Here is an 18070-nt window from a genome sequence, read left to right on the forward strand (position 1 = left end):
GCCTGAGTTCACCTGATGCATCCAGTCTGGGACTTGCTAACAGTCAGTCTTGGGGGCAGCAGTAACCCCTAGGTCTGCCCAGACCCCCCAAGGCCCCCCTGCTCCAGCCCAGAGGGACACAGAGAAGCATGGCCGTGCCTGGGACTAGGGGCCAGGGCCTCACCTTGAGCTTTCTCCTGGCATTGAACTTTTTCAGACACTCCACAGTCTCCTGTCTGTGCATCATGGATGCTACCGTGGAGCGTTGCTGTGGGGAAATGGGTGGTCATATGGCAGCCGAGCCCGAGGCACAGGGGAGAGGCCAGGGTGGCAAGGCTTGTGGCACCCTGGGGTCCCCACTTGCCAAGAGCCACCGGCCACCATTGCGGCAAGGGTTGTCTGTCCCCACCCGCCTGGGACTTCAAGACTCGTCTCTCCCTTGCCTCGTCCACTCTGCCCCTCACAGACAGGACTGCAGTTGGGAGGAAGGGATCACCTCTACCCTCTAATGCCTTCCAAGCCCCAGGCCTCACAAACGTGCTGGTATGTCCCAAGCCAGAGGCCACAAGGAGCACCCAGGGGACCCAAGGGAGCTCTTGGATGTCAGGAACAGGACCCTCTTGGGGTCCTTGCCAGGGGAGTGGTCTGAGGCCATCTCCACCAGGAGCCCCCTCCCCACCATGGGCACCAAGGGCGACTCACGCAGACCCACGGGTGCTTCAGGGCCTCATGGGCTGTGATGCGCTTGGCAGGGTTGATGGTCAGCATCTGGTTGATGAGGTTTTTGGCTTCAGGAGTGACGGTGTCCCACTCAGGGGACGGGAACTGCAGAAGGAAACAGCGCCCCGGCCGGGCCTGAAGCTCCCTCTCAGGCAGGGGCAAGAATTCTCCAAGGGGCTTCATCTCCAGCCACGAATCTGGGAGAGCAGGACCCAGGACCTGGCCACAGGTGGCTTCACCCCACTCCTAGCCTCTTCCCACGCTGCCCTCACCCGGCCACACCTGGAGGAAGGGAGCTCATCAGAGAGGGGCTGGTGCACTCACGTCATAGGCACCAGCCTTGATCTGCTGGTACAGCTTGTGCTGGTCCTCGTCCCAGAAGGGTGGGTAGCCCACGAGCAGGATGTACAGGATCACCCCTGCGGATGGGGCCTGTGAGCACCGCAGCCACTTGCAGGGTGCCACCGTCCATGAAGCCCATGCCCTGCACCCTCACTGCCTAGCTCCTGTGGCCCTGGGAGGGCATTGGGGTCCTCAGCATTCCTTTGCCCCCACCTGTGCAGCAGACACTGGGGTAGAAGGGCACAGCCGGCCCCCTGACCTCTGCCCCACACCCACACTATCACAGGGATGAGGGTGATGTCAAGCCCCTCTGCTGCTCCCCACCTCTGTGGGAGGAGACCCCTACCCAAGGAGGTGGCCCTGCCCATGGCCCAACAGCCCCTGACCTCTCTTCTCCACTCCCATCCACCCACCACACTTCTGGACCAGACCTCTGCTGAGCGCAGGCGAGCACTGGGGTGCGCCAGGTTCATGTGAGCAATTCTAATCTGGGTGGAAAGGGGGCTCTTGGCTGTGTGGGCAGACCCCTGCCAGGGCAGCTCAAGGGCAGGTCTGACACAGATAAACCCAGATGAGAGCAAGACGTGCTGGCCACTGCACACTCCAGGATGTAGGTGGGAAGTCCTGAAACACCCGAGGCCCTGCCCCGCACCAACTCAGGCCAGGCCTCACCACATGCCCAGATGTCCACAGGCTTGCCATACGCCTCTTTGCGAAGGACCTCAGGGGACAGGTAGCCTGGTGTGCCAGCGAAACCTAGAGAGAGGGGAAGAGGCCACAAGGGGCTGTCAGCATCACCTCCTGCCCTGCCAACTGCCAGCCAACACACCCTGCCCCTGGCACTCACCAAACCATGCCTGCTGGTCCCCCTGCACCTCGATAGCTAGGCCGAAGTCTGCCAGCTTCACTGCAGCCCCTTTGCACTTGCTGGCCAGAAGCAGGTTCTCCGGCTGCAGGGAGGTGACCGGCACAAGGGTGCATGTTGTTTAAACCCAGAGGTGTTATGTGGGGTTGGGTGGGGGGTTACAAAACAGAGAAAACAGTGGTTTGCAAGAGACAGGTGCACAGGTCTGAGCCCTGCCCCATGGTGTCTGCAGGGCATGGCTGAGCCTTCACCCCAGAGTCCCAGACGCTGAGCCTGCAACCCCACAGCCCCTCTGCCCCTGGGGACAGAGACACAGCAGCTCTGGCCTTTCAGAGGAAACTTGGCTCTCAGCCTGAGCTTGGATCCCCATAACCTGGAAGGGCGACCTGGGGGCTAGTTGGACCAAAACCTCAAGCTCATCCTTACAAGCAAACTAAATGTTCCCCACAGCCCTGGGGCAGACTGTGCAGTGGCTGGGGGCTCCCATGGCCCTCGGACTCCCACTGGCTGAGAGGCTGCAATGGCCCTCCCTTCCCTCCCTGTTTCTCACTCCTCAGAGACCTGGGATGTTGGGGGCTGCTTGAGGGGAAGTTCAGGTATTTCCTGCTGAGATGGTGACCCCCAAAGGGCAAGGAGAAACGCCCAGGGCCCTCAGCACTAGGGGCAGCCCAGGACATCCACCCACCAAGTCCCCCTGGCTCTGGTCATCCCCACTACATGGGGCAGGAAGGAGGCCCCTGCAATGACCCCCTGCCCGCTGGGTATCCACAGGTTGGGGGGTTACTCAGGCCCTGACACAGAGAGCAGTGCCCTTGCTCAAGCCAGAAGGACATCTGCTCCCTATCTTGCAGCAGCGGCCAAGGAGGCCTGGGGGCACTTGGCACTGAGGGCCTGAGGGGGTCCCAGGGCCACTGCATCCCATGGGACCTTCCTGTCCCAGCTTTCAAACCCCATCGGGCTCTGGCCTACCCATCAGCCTCACCATCTCCCAGCGGTGGGGTCTCTTGGCTGCAGGCCTTCCTTGTCCCTGACCAGCAGGGGGCTCCCTGGGGCCCTCGGGTCCCTTGGCCAGCCTCCCAGGCCACCCCTTTGCCCTGGTGAGTACCCCGCTGTCCTGGCACTGCTTCCATCTGATGCACTACCCTCGGGATCACACTGCCGCTTGATGAGCCGCCCAAAGAGACAAAACAGACCACTCCACCCACTTTTAACACTGGTTGTAAACCTCAGAGATCTTGAAATGTGAAAAAGTGACCCCCAGAATGAATGACATATGCTATCCCCATGTGGAAAGACTGCCACAGCCCCGAGCTGTGAGCGCCCCTCAGCAGAAACCCAGAGCTTCCTCGAAAGCTCCAGCCACGCCCTACTGAGCAGGCGGGATGAGGCCGTGTGCCCCCTTGACAAGGCAGCATTGGGGGCTTCTGTCCCCCACCTCCACCTCCTCGTCACCTTGGGGGTCCCAGCCTGCTGGGGCACACGCATCCGTGTCCACCGAGCACCAATCCACAGGCCACTGGACATGGTGATTTTGCCAACGTGAGTGGGTGGAGGCCCCAAGCTCCCCGTGCAGCTACATGGAGAAGTTGGACAGAGGAGGGGTCAGGGGCTGCATTTCTCCACCCAGCCCAGAGCAGACTTGCTGCATGTCCCCCCTCCCCAGAGGAAACAGACCAGCAGTTCTTCCGAAGAGAAGGAGCGTTAAGTGAACATGGACCGTAGGAAGCACTGGGCAAGAAGGCCTGGAGGCTCCAGGGTAGCTCTCAGGCTGTGCCCACCCCTGCTAGGCCACCCAGTGATGCCCCCACCCTGGCTCTTTTGCAGTTCCCTGGGATGACATCAACTGCCCTCTGCTCTCTACCACCCTCCCCAGTGGGGTGAGAGCAACCCCACTACTCTGCTGCTTCCTGGGCTGTCACGATCAAGATGGTGGATTTCTGTCCAGGAGAAAAGGACATCCTGTCCCCCTCAACAGGAGGTTGAGACAGCAAGAATTCTGTTTGTCCCCCAAATTGGGGAGGAGGTACCACTGACCTCTACTTCTATGCCTTGGCTCCAGAGTTAACCAGATAAATCATGGGGTCTGGTAACACAATGTCTGTGGCCCCTCACAGGAGAGCCACTGAGTCCTAGCACCAACCCACGTGGCCCCGAGGGGAGCACCTGGGGGCCCCCTCCTCCCAGAGGCGCCTGAGTGAGGCTGACTCAGGTGAGACAAAGCAGGACATGCTTGGGATGCAGAGATGAGAGGGAACAGGGGGTACGGTGGCGTGTAAAGGGTATAGGAGAGGGTCCCGGATCTGCTCTTGGTGTGACACTCTCCCCAGAGCAGCACAAAGATCATCGATGGCCTAAGGAAAGGTGTGACCCCCATTCAGCATGAAAACCAATGGGGAGGTTGGTCTTAAAAATGCCATCAGGGTGATGGCCCCAGGGTCTGCACTGCTTGCCTGTCTACAGAGAAGCAGCAGGCTGAACCAAGCCTTGGGGAAGGTGGGGTTGAAGAAGGAGGAAAGGAGATTGGAAGGAAGGAAAGGGAGGAAGGAAGGGAGAGAGGAAGGAGCAGAGAGACAGCTAAGCTTCTGAGAGGCCACCCTGTGCCCTGGGGGGTGACCAACCTTCTTCCGAACACAGCCTAGAACTGCTTTGCCCAGACCTGAGCTGGGGGCAGCAGAGACTTGAGGAAAGGGCTGGGAGGACTTGGCAGACCCTGGCGAGTCCTGCTCTCACCACTCTGCTCCCAGCGGCGTCAGCCCTGTCACCTGTGTCCTCATCTGCCACAGTGGAGTCTTGGTGGGGGCTCACAGTTAGACCCTGAGTGGACATTTGTTACTAGCTGATTTCTCTATTGCCCAGGCTGGAGTGCGGTGTAATAGGCTGATTTCTGAAGACTAACCCCTCCCAGCCCTGGAGGTCCGGAGGGGTAGGGAGGGCCATGTGCAGACACCCCTCCAACACACAAGTGCACACACATGCACATGTACACACATGCCCACACAGACACACACACACATGCATACACGCACACATGTACCCACATGTACACATTCACATATGCATGCGCATGAACATGCCCACACATGTACACACTTGTACACACTTGCATACTCATGCATGCACAGTCCCCACACACGTGCATGCACACATGCCATATGTATACACACATGCACACAGGCACACAGACACGCCACCACTCATGCAGACATATGCACTCACACCTCTAAGTGTGCACATACATGCACATCCCTGCACAGGTGCAAGATGCACACACAAGCATGTATACACACATGTGCACACACACTCACACAATGCCTCCACCCAGGCATGCACATATGTACACACGAACCTCCATGTACACACGTATGCACATGCACACACATACTTCTATGCACATGACACATGCACATTTACATACAGGTGCACACACATAAGCATGCACACATGCCTCCACACATGCACGCACATATGCACACCATCCACACAGGACATGCACACACATACACATGCACATGCATGCACACACTCCTCCATGCATGCACACAAGGACACACACACACATACACCTCACCCCTCCAAGCTCCACAGTGCCACACACTGTCCAGCCCCTCACACTTCCTTGTACACAGCATGCAGGTACAGACAACAGACACCTGGCACAGAGTGGGGTGGGGACTCACCTTGAGGTCTCTGTGGACGACCCCCATTTGGTGACAATGGAGAACGGCCTCCAGGATCTGCTGGATACAGTGACTGTGGCAAACAGCAGGTGGGTTAGTGCGAGTGGCCCTGGGGAGCAGCAAGAGGAGGCACTGGGGGCAGGGGCAATGGTGCTGTGTGGCCTGGGGGGACCAGGGGGACAAAGCAAGTCAAGGTGAGAGGAGATGCTGGCCAGGAGGGGCCTCTGGGGCTTCTTCCTCACCTCCAAGGCCAGCAACTCTGGCCCTGGCCCTGCCTTCCCCTCTGGGCCCATATCTGTTCAGAGGGCATGGCTAGGCACACAGAAGTGACTTTCAAAGGAAACACCCCTGTCCCCAGGCTCCTGTTGGCCAAGCTTGACCCTAAGCTGGGCACCCTCAGGAGGGAGGCCAGGCTGAGTCTGTACCCTGTAAGGCAGGCTGAGGTGAGCAGGCCGGGCGAGCGGGCTAGAAAACCAAGGCAGGGAAGGGTCAAGGCGGCTGGGGGTGGGGGCAGGGGGCTGCCCTGGTGTGTGAGAAAGCCCCAGGCACCAGGACCCTGCTCTGTGCTGGAGCAGAAATAATGTGCTCGGGCACATGTTATTTCATTTTAATAAAAAGTGAAACCTGCCTGGGCGCGGTGGTTCATACCTGTAATCCCAGCACTTTGGGAGGCCAAGGTGGGCGGATCACCTGAGGTCAGGAGTTCAAGACCAGCCTGGCCAACATGGCGAAACCCCGTCTCTACTAAAAATACAAAAATTAGCTGGGTGTGGTGGTGGGCGGCTGTAATCCCAGCTACTCAGGAGGCTAAGGAAGGGAGAATTGCTTGAACCCAGGAGGTGGAGGTTGCAGTGAGCCAAGATGGCACCACTGCACTCCAGCCTGGGTGACAGAGGGAGAGTCCATCTCAAAAAGAAAAAAATAAAAAGTGAAACCCAAGCTGCCACATTGGCTGGTGGCTGCCGTGTTGGGTGGCTCAGTTCCAGCAGCACTAGGGGCATCTAGTTCAGCTCCCAGGGATCTGAGGGGCTGGGCAGGGGGCTGTGTGTGCACAGCACTGAGCACACGGAGCTTCCCCTTCAACCCTTCCTCTCATAGTCAGGGAGGGCTGTTGGCAGAAGTCCAGGGCCCTTCCAGGCCATGACTGGCTGGGAGGAGAGGTCCAAGCTGCTCTCAGGCCACCTCCCTGACACCTGTCCTAGAGCACATCAGACCCAGGGCCACGGAGCCCCTGCACACACCGAGAGCCCGTGGCTTGAATCTGCTTCTGCCCAGGTGCCCCTGGAGCCCAACACAAGCCCTTCCCCAGGGACAGCTCCACAATGCAGGGTGATAGCAGCCACCACCTCCGAGGCTGCCCTGCTGGGCCTGGAGGCATTTGCCACAGGCTGCCGATGCCCACCTGCCTGGGGTCTCAGTCACCGCCCCACTGGGCACGGTCAAGGGAGGGACAGGAAGACCCCCTCAAGACCCTTCTATCCCAGCCAGATCCTTGGGGACAGGAGGGTGACCAGGGTCAGCAAGATGAGTGGGCTTTGTTTTCCTAACAGCAAATTCAGAGAAGACACGAGAGGTCAGCCTTCTTCCTCAAATAGCTCCCACCCGTCTTGGTCCCATCTGTACAGCGTCAGCCATTGCATTAAAAAGTGAATCTGAGTTTCCTCCTGAAGAAATCCAGCCCTCAGAGTCCTAATGGGTGATGGACTCCTGAGGTGTGTGGGGTCAGAAGAAGCCAGGCCCAAACTCATGGGAGACAGCCCCTTGGTGGTGTCACTTCAATGTCACCAAGAGTGGGAGCCACAATCCTATCTCCTTGCTCCATATGCCCTGGGGTGTCCTGCCTTCCCTCCTCCCCATGTGCCCTGGGGTGTCCTGCCCATTTGTTGAAACATCCTCCCTTCTCCCTGGCCTACATCTAGAGACTTCCTGGCCTCTCTTCTGCTCCTGCAACTCCTGTAGAGGGCTGTGTCCCTGAAGTCAGCCCATGACAAGCCACTATGAGGAGCATCTACTTCCCATGCTGCCCTCATCTGCCTGGACCAGCCCCTCCTCCTTGTTCCTGAAGGGGCCCAGCATCTGTTCCTTTGAATGGCCAACTGTGTCCTGCCAAGGCCTGTGAGCCTAAGCATGGCTGGCTGGCTGGCTGGGGTGGGGGCTTCCCTCTGGTGGGCAGACTCAGCCTCCCTGCAAGACGGGAAGCCTGGGAAGTCGGGGGTGAGGCTGTGGGGTCAGATATCCACAGCCATCCAGATGGGTCCAGATGCAGAGTGAGCTCAGTGTGGCCCTCCCAGGGGCCCTCCCAAGGGCCAGCCAGCTCCTTCATGCACTGCTGCGTGGTGTGGACGGTAGCAGTGCTGACCAGATCCTGTGGTCAGTCTTGGCCCTGGTTTGTCCTGGGAAGGGCATAGATCTTGGGCTCCTCCTGTCCAACTGTGTGCACTTTCCCCCAGCCCATCCCTGTGGTCCATCACCTCCCTGAGGGCTGGACTTTCCTCTGCCCTTGGGCACTCTCCAGGTGGAGTGATATGTGCAGAGCTTGTGGTCACCAGGAAGTGCCACCTCCCGGGACACCAACAGGGACTCGGCCTGCACCGCATGCACCTCACAGACTACTGCTGAGGGCGAGAGTTGAACCTTCCTCATCGACCTTCTTTCAGCCTCAGACTTACTGAGTCCTGGCCGCAGCTCTGGCCACGCCCTGTATCCTCCTTCCTCCCCAGCTGTCATCACCCCCTGACTCCACAGTTGGCTCGCCCAGTCCTCCTCAGCCTCCCCTGCTGAGGAGGCTCCCCTCCCCTCCCAAACCAATGCCAGAGACGGGGACTATGGGGACAGCATTGGTTCTGCACCTCTCCATGGTGTCCTTAAGGGTATGACGGGGACTTGGCACGTGTTGCTGAGATCAAGTCCGCCCCATCCATTGTCACGCAGCCTCCAGGCCCTGCAAACGCATGCTCAGGATTGAGTTGGCTGAGCAAGCCAGGGGTCCCCAAGACAACGCTGGGCCAGGCTGCACCCAGCAGGGTAGGTGGGATGGGACAACCACCTGGCCTGGGACAGCCCATTCAGGGCAGTCCCCTGCACTTTAGGGACCTGTCCTCATATTGCCCTTGTCCTGGTGCAATCTGAGACCACGGCCTTGGAGGATGTGAGACTCACAGTCACACCATCTTGTCTGCCGTCACTTTCTGTTAACATCGATGTCTTCTCTAGGAAGGGCCGATCCCCTCTAGGTTTGTTTTTGTTTTTTCATGTTTTGAACAGTTTAAGATGTCACTTTTGTGATTAGAATTGTTCCCAAGCAGCATTTGGGACGTTATTCTCAGCCTGGGCTCTGATGTCCTCCCCCTCCGCAGACAGTCAGCATTGCACCAGGTCCCTTCAGCCATCTTTCAGTAGTGACATTGCTTTTTTTTTTTTTTTTTTTTGAGATGGAGTCTCGCTCTGTCACCCAGGCTGGAGTGCAGTGGCGCGAACTCGGCTCACTGCAACCTCCGCCTCCCGGGTTCAAGCGATTCTCCTGCCTCAACCTCCAGAGTAGCTGGGATTACAGGCATGCGCCACCACACCAGGCTAATTTTTATATTTTTAATAGAGACGGGGTTTCACCATGTTGGCCAAGATGTTTTCGATCTCCTGACCTTGTGATCCGCCCGCCTCGGCCTCCCAGAGTGCTGGGATTACAGGCGTGAGCCACCGTGCCTGGCCACCACATTGCTTTTTAAGGTTTTTTTAAAAATGGGTTCTAAATGTTTTGTACTTTGCTTTCCCTGTTTGAAGAAGACATGGACACCCTTCAGTTTCCCCATCAACTCCAAAATAAGACCCTGCTTCCTCCTAAGAGGAATTTCCAGCTTTGTTGGTTAGAAATGAGTTCAGAAAAGCAATGACTGTCCTGTTTCTTCTTGTTCCTTAGATGGGGCTCATCCAGAAATCTGTGAGCTGCTCCACGGCAGCAGCTCCTGGCCCTTGGCAGGTACCAGGCAGGGCATTAGTACACTTGCCCTGGCTGCGTCTGTGTGGTTCGGAAAGCACCTCCCTGCCTGGGTCTGGCCAGGAGGCCTCGGCCCATCCTGTCCCGCGCCTGTCCTTTACCTCTGTCTCAGCACAACCCTGACTGTTCAGACATGGGGCTCTGCCTGGGGGTAAGTCAAGCTCCCTCCTTTGCTATAGTCCTGCCCTGAGTTTGTGGCTATGCTTGTTGGGTAGGGGCCCACGGGTGCCTCTGTCAGACTCTCCACCGAGCTCCACTGCTTGAAGGCTGAAGCTCACGCACAGAGAGCAAAGCCACCGTGGCCCCAGGCAGGGCACGAGGCTCACCCAGAAAGAAAGGAGCCCAAGGCTGCTGAAGCCCGAGGAGGGGCCCCATGCTGAGGCTGTCGCACCAGCAGGGCCAACCCAGGAGGGGCTCTCCAGGAGGCTCCTTCCCTCTCCATGTCCCCTCTCCCACTCAGCCTCCAAAATCACTGCCCGGATCCTGGCACCCTCTACAGCACACAGGCCGTGTGCCCCCTCGCTCCCCACAGTCTGGCTATGGAATGCCCTCCATTTGAGCTCCAAACCCTCAATGGAGGCAGTGGAGTTTCTAAGAGAACATCTCTTCTGGCTGGTTCCAAGGACCCCATACACCAGGGGTGCCCTCCGCATCGGGAGTCCTGTGAGAGGAGATGGGGAGACCTGGGTCAGAGCCGGGAACACTACAGTTTGCTCTGGCAAAGGTTTCTGGAACCTGAACAGCCCGAGCATTTCCTGAGGACCCTAGAAATCCCTCACTTCTCCCCTCCCGAGCCTACCCTGAGGCTGCTCCAGACCTCGCCAGGCCAGCTCTGCGGTCCCCCGGCCCACAGCAGAAAATCTGGGGTTCAAGCAGATGGGACTCCTGCTGCCAGGCCAGGCACCCCAGGGCCCGCCACGGGGAGGGGCTGTGGGTGTGTGTGGGGTGCTGTGTGTCCATCCGAGACTCAGACTGAGGAGGGAGATGCTGAGCAAGAAGTCAAGGCCGCGCCTGTGGATTGGGCGGAGGGGTTGGCGCTCTGGAGGGAACTGGCCTGGTGTGATGAGGAAGCCACATGTGACCCTTCACCCCCATGGCTGGAGTTGCCCCATTCCAGCCTCCACCTGGGGCGGTGAGGGGTGCAGCATTCTGGGCAGGCTGACTCTCAAGCTGACCCCCAGAGTGGGGGATAACAGGTTGTGTCTCCTTCCCCAAACCTGATGAACACAAAGACTCCTAAACCACACAGGGGGCCAAGAGGGATCCACAGGAGCAGAGGGGGCTCTGGGGGGCTGCAGGACATCAATAAGGAGGCAGAGGGAGCATAGGAGAGGGTGCAGCACAGAGGGGCAGGGGAGAGGGCTGGAGGCAGCAGGTGAGCAGGAGGGTGGGAGTGAGGGGCCTGTGATGGGGCACGGGCAGGGGGTGGGGGTGGGGGAGGGTGGGGCTGTGGTCTAAGGCACTCCTGAACCCTAGCTGTGGGATCCGATCTGCTGATGGGAGGCTCTAGGAGGCCACATGCCCCCACCCTTGCCCAGCATCTGTCCACCCCTCAGGGCACTCCACCCATCCCAGGATCCCACCTGCCCCAGCAGGTGTCTGGATGGGCCACCAGGGACCCTCGAGTCCACCTGGCCAGCAGGCAGGCAGCAGCAGGCTCTGTGACATATCTCACCCCAGAAGCTCAGAGCAGGGGGACAGGGCTCCGTTCCACTTTCTACTTGTCTTCTAAGTAGAATATAAAGGAAAACCTCGTCTTCCTCCACTCCAAGGGCACAGGCCTCTCCAGGCTGTTCTGCAAACTACAAATTCCCTCCTCAAGGATCCTTAGAAAAGAAGCCAGTGTCCCGAACCCCACAGAAGTCTGGGGCCAAGAGACTCACCAGCTTTGTCCCTCTCCCTGCCCAGCTCTAGGGGAGGCCCAGTGGCACCAGAGCTGCTCACACTGCCCATCAGGGATGCGGGCCATGTCACGATGGGCAGTTTCCTACTGGTGCAGAGGCAAGTCACATCAAACTACTTCTGCTACTTAAAAAAAAATTCATTTTTCTGGATCAGAAAAGTAATACATACTCATTTTAAAAAGAGTTTTTTTTTTTTGGTTTTTTTTTTTGAGACAGAGTTTTGCTCTTGTTGCCCACCCAGGCTGGAGTGCAATGGCGCAATCTCAGCTCACTGCAAACTCCGCCTCCTGGGTTCAAGCAATTCTCCTGCCTCAGCCTCCCGAGTAGCTGGGATTACAGGCATGCGCCACCACGCCCGGCTAATTTTGTATTTTTAGTAGAGACGGGGTTTCTCCATGTTGGTCAGGTTGGCCTGGAACTCCCGACCTCAGGTGATCCGCCCACCTCGGCCTCCCAAAGTGTTGGAATTACACGTGTGAGCCACCACGCACGGCCTAAAAAGAGTTTTTAAATAGACAAAGATACAAATTTAAAATCATCCACAATTTCACCACCTAGCGAGGTCCTCCGTTAGCCTTATTTATGTATTTATTTTTTGGAGACAGGGTCTTGCTCTGTCACCCAGGCTGGAGTGCAGTGGCACAATCTCGGCTCACTGCAACTTTGAACTCCTGGGCTCAAACCATCCTCCCATCTCAGCTTCCCAAGTGGCTGATGTGCATGTGTGCCACCATGCCTGGCTACTTTTTTTTAAGTTTTTGGTAGAGAGGGGGTCTCATTATATTGCCCAGGCTAGTCTCAAACTCCTAGCCTCAAGCAATCCTCCTGTCTTGGCCTCCCAAAATGTTAGGATTACAGGTGTGAGCTACCATGCCTGGCCTCAGTTTTTTTTTTTTTTTTTTTTAAATACACATCTCTGTGGCAGAGCAGGGTGGGCAGAGCCCAGTGGGCAGGGAGTAATGCTGTCAGCTGTCCCTGAGGTGAGATGTACTGTTACGAGAGACATCCTTGTCAGGTGTCAGGGTGGCATCTGGCCTGGGCCACAGCAGGCTACCAGTGGCCTATGCTTCCAGGGACAGGGCCCTGTCACCTCCCCAGCTGACATCTGCCATCCCTCAATCTGGTCTCCAGCAGCCGGGCCACAAACAGTCATCTCTGAGACCATCTGTCCCTCTTCATCCCCCCGGGGAGGGTCAGCCTTGTGGGAAGGGCTGCCTGAGGGTCCACGGGAAGCCCCACCTGGATAGAGCCCAAGTTCCTCCATTCCATCCTCACACTGGGAGGCCCACAGACCCAGGGCCAAGCCCTCTGAACCTGGCCTTGGGCGTGGAGGGGAGGTGGCCTCTTGGCTCTGCGCTGAGGTTACAAGTTTCCTTTGGCTTCATGCCCATCGCTCTGGGGTGTGGGTGAGCAGGGATGCTCAGCACCAGACGTGGGTTAGAAAGAGCAGCAGGAGTGGGTGAAGGAGGGATGGTGAGGGTATAAAGGAAGAGGGACAGGACAGCGTGAGGGCTCTGCACCCACCTGGCATCAGCCTCGCTGTAGTACTCTCTCGCCACAATGTCTTCAAAGAGCTCCCCACCAGTGACCCTATGGGAGAAGCATGAAGGGGTCACAGATTCTGGAGACCCCTGTCACACTGCACTGTCACCTCCATTACTACCACCACCACCATCACCACTATCATCACCATCACTCCCATCATCACTAATGTCACCATCCATCACCAGCATCATCACAATCATCACCACCACCAACTACCACCATCACCAGCACCACCACCTCCACCGTATTACCATCACTTGGGACTGACAGCTTACTAGTGCTTACTTATCTATAATGACATTTAACATTTCAGTCCTCACAACCACTCTGTGACTTTGGCCACGATTATACTCCATTTTTATGGATGAGAAAACAAATTTCAAAGATTTGGTGACTTGCCCAGAGTGGGCAGCACAGGAGCTTTGTCTCAGGGTCTGCATTGTTACACCCAGGCCTTGTGACTCAAATTCCAAGTCTGAGAAGATCTGGTTTCCCCTCCTCAATACTCTCCCACCCCCACTTAGGGCCAGAGTGGTGGCCCTCGCACAGGATCAGAGCCTAAAGACACGGTGCCTAAATCTGGTCTCCTTGGTGGCGCAGGGTCTTGAGGTGTTCGAGGTCCCATCTCTAGGAAGAGAACAGAGATGACAGGCAGAAGGGAGGTCTCTGCCCACTCTCCTGCCCTGTGTCTCCACCCAGTGAGTAGTCATTGGGCCCTATGGTCAGGATAGACCCTGTGAGCAGAAGCCACAATCTGAAGGGCCTCTGGGAGCCGGGTAATGTGGGCATGGAACAAAAAGGTGGAGGGGCTGGATGCACGGCAGGGGAGTAGGACGGAGCCCTCTGCAGGTCTGCCCAAGCCCCTCACACACTTAGCCTGCTTGAGTCTGCTGGTAGACTCCCCTAGAAGCTGTCACCCCTGAGAAGGTTAGGGTCACTGCTCCCACACCACTTCCTGTGACCCTATGTGTGGGGCAGGCCTGTGGGGTCCAAGCCCCTCCTCTGCCTCCGCACCCTCTTCCCCATCCCCCCGCCTGCTCCACTGCACTGCCCAGGTGCTGTGGCTTCTCTATCTGCCTGGCAGTTTTCCCCATTGGTTCTGGAATGTAGGGCTTAGGTCTTCCTCATTTTTGGGCCCAGCACTTGGGGCTGGGCTGGTCCATGGCAGGGAAGACCCAGGGAGTGGATCTGTTGAACATGTGACCTTGGCACATGTGGGTGCTCTCTCAGCACTGGAGAAAAAGAAAAGTGAGCATGTGTTGAATGTCGGCTCACCCCTGCTCCAGCTAAACGCATGCCCTGATGATCCCATTGAATCCCCTCAAAATCCTTCGAGCAATGTGAGGGTGAAATGCACTGGGAAGACACCCAAGTCCCTGGCACCTAGCAGGGCATTAAAGGACTGGGTGTTCCCTTTCCTTTCCCCATTTTTCTGTCCAGGCTGGGGCTGGGGGCAGGGGCTCTGCCTCTGTTGCCTGACTGGTTCTGCTGTTCTGTGTCCCCGACCAGCACCTGGCATGTGACCTGGAGCTCTGCTCACCCTCGCTCACTCCTCTGCCTGCCTCTCCTCTCACTCCTCATGGGCCAGCACATTTCTACAGCCAATCAACCACCACACCGACCACAAGGAAACAAAACAGTGTTGACGGGGCCCTTCCCAGGGTCATCTGGCCGGGCTCCTGAGCTTGGCCTGTCCGTGTGAGGGTGTGTGTGTGCACGTGTTCACATGTGTGGATGCCTGTGTGTGCCCTTGTGTACATGTATACTGGCTTGTGCATGTGAGCACATGTGCATGTGTGTCTGTGTGTCTGTACCTATGTGTGCCCATGCGTGCACTCATGTTCATGTATATTGTTTTGCATGTGTGCCTGTGTGCATGTGTGTACAACTGTGTGCCTGTGTGTGCCCTTGTGCACTTGTAGAGCAGTTTGTTCATGCGCACACATGTGTGCATGTTTGTACATATGTGTGCTTGTGTATACATGTGCATTGGGCAGGAGGATCAAAACCCACATCTAGCCCAGGCAAGGGCCTGGCATGCCCCAGTGTTGTGCTATAACTGTTTAGGTCTTGGCACACACTGAACACAGATTAGGCTCTGCAGACGCCGAGTCCAGGCACAGAACAGTGGCTAAAAGGCCTTACGGTCTTGAGCCAGGGCTGCAGCCCAGAGTCGCTCCAAGGGGTGCCTCACTAGGGCTGATGCAGGCCCTCTGGTGTGCTCTGTGTGCTCAGGAAGCTGTAGTTTGGGCTGGTGGGCACCTGGGACTCCCTGGCCAGGGCCATCTAGTGGTTCAGTTTCAGGGAAGGGAGTTTGCTCCTCCACCCACGTTGGTTGCTGTGGGGAGTTTGGGAAACTCAGTGCTGGCCCAGGAGGGACACAGTCCGGGAAGGCACACATATGACTCCATGGCCCCCTTTCCTTAGGCTGTGGGGGACACATGGCTGATTCTTGGCTTCAGCCATGGCGCCTATGGGAGCTTCTGTCCTCTGGGCGTGCAGGTGTGTGTGAGACCCTCTACTCCCAGGCCTGGTTCTCAAGCCCTGTGACATTCCCAAGCAAGGGGAGTGGGGATATCTGTCAATCCCCCAGAATCCACAGAGTTCCCAAACTACTATGGGGCCTCAGGGCCTCCTGAGGGCAATGCCAGCCAACTCCAGAAACTGCTGTCCCGGCCCTCTGCTGGCCTGGAGGCTGGCTGAGGCACAGGGGCCATGGAGGTTGGTGGGGAAGACATGGAGGGTCCTTCCTGACTCGCCAGCCAATCTCCTCTTCCCAGCCTGCCTCAGGGCCTCCAATGACACCTGCCTGGCATGTGCTTGGCAAGGCGGGAGACATGAGAGTCTCTCAAATGGGCACACACACATGCACGAACACACCACCCTTTCTCCTCCTCGGCTCCTGTAACACATGCAGCCATCTGTTGGCCACCAAGGGCCCTGGATCGGACCACCCCCCACCCCACAGTCTCCATTTCCTGGGAAAAGAGGCTGGTGGAGGTGTGCTGGGGCACACAGGTGTGGCAGCAAGCCTGCCAGCTCCCCAGGGCCACAGGACAGACGTTTCAGGACACAGCCTCAGCCAGGCAGTGGCAACTGTGTCCTGGGTCAGCCCCAGTCACCTGGCTGGTGATTTGAGTTGGTGTCTTGTGGAACATGCAGGGGAACCTGAGAGGTGGCCAAGCCCCTGCAGGGACAGTCTCAGCTTCTCTAGGCCAGAGAACCTCACATGGACAGAGGCCTCCTCAGGCCTACATGTGCCATGGCCTGACGTCTGTCACTTGAGGAAGGAGGAGCTGAGAGGGCAGCCCCCACGCAGGCGTGTCCTGTCTCTGCTCGGCCTGCACGCTCACAGCAGCCATGGGGAGGGCCTGGGGTAACCATGGCAATAGCACCAAGGCTGGGCTTCTCTGGCTGTGTGGCCGCCTGGAGGCCACAGGGGCAGGCTAAGGCCTATGGGCCCTTGCCCAGGTCAGGGTCCTGGAACAGCACTGACTCACAGACAGCTAAATATAGCGCTGCTTAGCAGGAACTGTCAAAAGTGAGGGAGATGAGATCACTGCTTCTAAATCCGGCAGGAAGTGAGAGGCGGCAGCGGCCCCAGACACCTTCTCACTGAGCTACTGCACACGCACTCATGAAACACTCACACATGCACATTCATGCAAACACACACATACACATGCATGCACACACATGCAAACGTGCATGCATACACTTGTGCCAGCGTACCCACATGCACACACCTCCACACGCTCACTCATACATTCACACAATACACATGCACATGTATGCACATCCCCACCCATATGGACCCTGATTTCATGTGCTCACGCGCCCCCACGTGCAAACACCCACACACATACATACAGGTGCACGTGCTCACATTTCACAGCCACACTCATAAACACACACATGTGCACTCACGCCAGCCAGTGGTGCCCCAGTCCAGCTGGGATGAGGGCACCAAGGAAAGGAAGGTGAATGCAGCTGCTGACTGACTATTCCTCTGGGGTCCACCCACCCGCTGCCTCCAGTGTGCCCTGTTCTGTGTGGAGGAGAGGGGGAGTCCAGGATGTCAGCCCTGCCTCTGTGGGCCTCAGTAACCCTAGTGCAAAGCAAATGAGGGGAGGCGAGGGAAGCTAGGCTGGGCACAGCTTGGAGCAAGGGGACCAGCAGCAGAAGCACACTCAAGGGAGTGGCCAGCCCACGGGTAGGGACTATTCCCTGGGGCTGGGGAGGCTGCAGATCCCACCCTGAGCCAAGGCTGGGAGTGAGTGCAGCGAGAGTCCCCAGCTCTGGAACTTACAGATCGAAGACCAGGTAGTGGAAGCCCTCCTCGGAGATGCTGTCGTGGAGACGCACTGTGGGGACAGAGAAGCCATGAGGGGCTGGCAATAGCCCAGGACACACCTCCTGCCTGCCTCCGTACCTGTCCAGGCACACCACCAGCGGTGTAAGCCCTAGGGCTGCCCAGAGGATCGGGCTGGGTAGGGCCCGGGTGGGCAGGCCAGAGGGCAGGGCTGAGCAGAGTGCTTTGGGCCCTGCGGGCCAGCTGGCCACCCAGCGAGCACCCACAGGGCCTCAGGGCAGTGCCACTGCCCTCAGCTGCCAGTGCCTCACCCTCCGCTGCCAGTCTGGTCACCTGTCTCCTTCTGCCAGAGAGAGACCAGGTCCTTTTGGTCCCAGCCTGGGCCTCAGCTGCTCCCAAACACCACGGAGATCAACAGGAGGAGCTCACACCTCCAAACCCCAGAAAGGAGCTGCCGTGCAGCTCCACATGAGGAGAAGCTGGGACAAAAACCACTCATTATTCACCCTGGGTCTTCCCAGGGCTGCCTTCTGCCTTCAGGCTCTGTGTCTCCGCTGTGTCCTGCCAGCACAGGCTGGTGGCAGGGTCCCTGCCTGATGCAACATCATCCAAAATTTTGGGCCCTGAGCTCCAATTCCAGAGCTGGCATGGTCAGCAGGATGGACCACCATCATTCCCTCCTTCCTCCTTGCACAACTTCCCATGACAATCTATGTGAAGCGTGCCTGGCCC

The 18070-nt window shown here is 57.9% G+C and overlaps 1 protein-coding gene across 35 annotated transcripts in view, besides 3 other annotated features; it reads right to left on the bottom strand.

Annotated features, from left to right (window-relative positions):
• CAMK2B (calcium/calmodulin dependent protein kinase II beta) overlaps window positions 1-18070 on the bottom strand; it is a 108860-nt gene that overhangs the window by 24383 nt on the left and 66407 nt on the right. For all 35 annotated transcript variants that reach the window (XM_011515559.3, NM_172084.3, XM_017012665.2 and 32 more), the window contains exons 4-11: window positions 17336-17390; window positions 13006-13071; window positions 5584-5656; window positions 1889-1991; window positions 1714-1797; window positions 1024-1118; window positions 682-804; window positions 164-247 (exon numbers count right to left, since the gene is read on the bottom strand). In XM_011515559.3, coding sequence (XP_011513861.1) covers window positions 164-247; window positions 682-804; window positions 1024-1118; window positions 1714-1797; window positions 1889-1991; window positions 5584-5610 — 516 coding nt within the window. In that variant the 5' untranslated portion in view covers window positions 5611-5656; window positions 13006-13071; window positions 17336-17390. The remainder of the gene's footprint in view (window positions 1-163; window positions 248-681; window positions 805-1023; window positions 1119-1713; window positions 1798-1888; window positions 1992-5583; window positions 5657-13005; window positions 13072-17335; window positions 17391-18070) is intronic.
• Window positions 8194-8712: an enhancer, noted in NCBI's record as "H3K4me1 hESC enhancer chr7:44289329-44289847 (GRCh37/hg19 assembly coordinates)". NCBI's record gives its function as "activates a minimal SCP1, AML or CMV promoter by ChIP-STARR-seq in naive H9 embryonic stem cells {active_cell/tissue: H9 hESC(naive)}" and the evidence as "EXISTENCE:reporter gene assay evidence [ECO:0000049][PMID:30033119]".
• Window positions 16260-16339: an enhancer, noted in NCBI's record as "active region_25936". NCBI's record gives its function as "activates an Ori minimal core promoter by ATAC-STARR-seq in GM12878 lymphoblastoid cells {active_cell/tissue: GM12878}" and the evidence as "EXISTENCE:reporter gene assay evidence [ECO:0000049][PMID:35858748]".
• Window positions 17220-17269: an enhancer, noted in NCBI's record as "active region_25937". NCBI's record gives its function as "activates an Ori minimal core promoter by ATAC-STARR-seq in GM12878 lymphoblastoid cells {active_cell/tissue: GM12878}" and the evidence as "EXISTENCE:reporter gene assay evidence [ECO:0000049][PMID:35858748]".

The sequence above is a fragment of the Homo sapiens genome, chromosome 7 (assembly GCF_000001405.40).
Source record: "Homo sapiens chromosome 7, GRCh38.p14 Primary Assembly".
NCBI classification, from domain to species: Eukaryota; Metazoa; Chordata; class Mammalia; order Primates; family Hominidae; genus Homo; species Homo sapiens.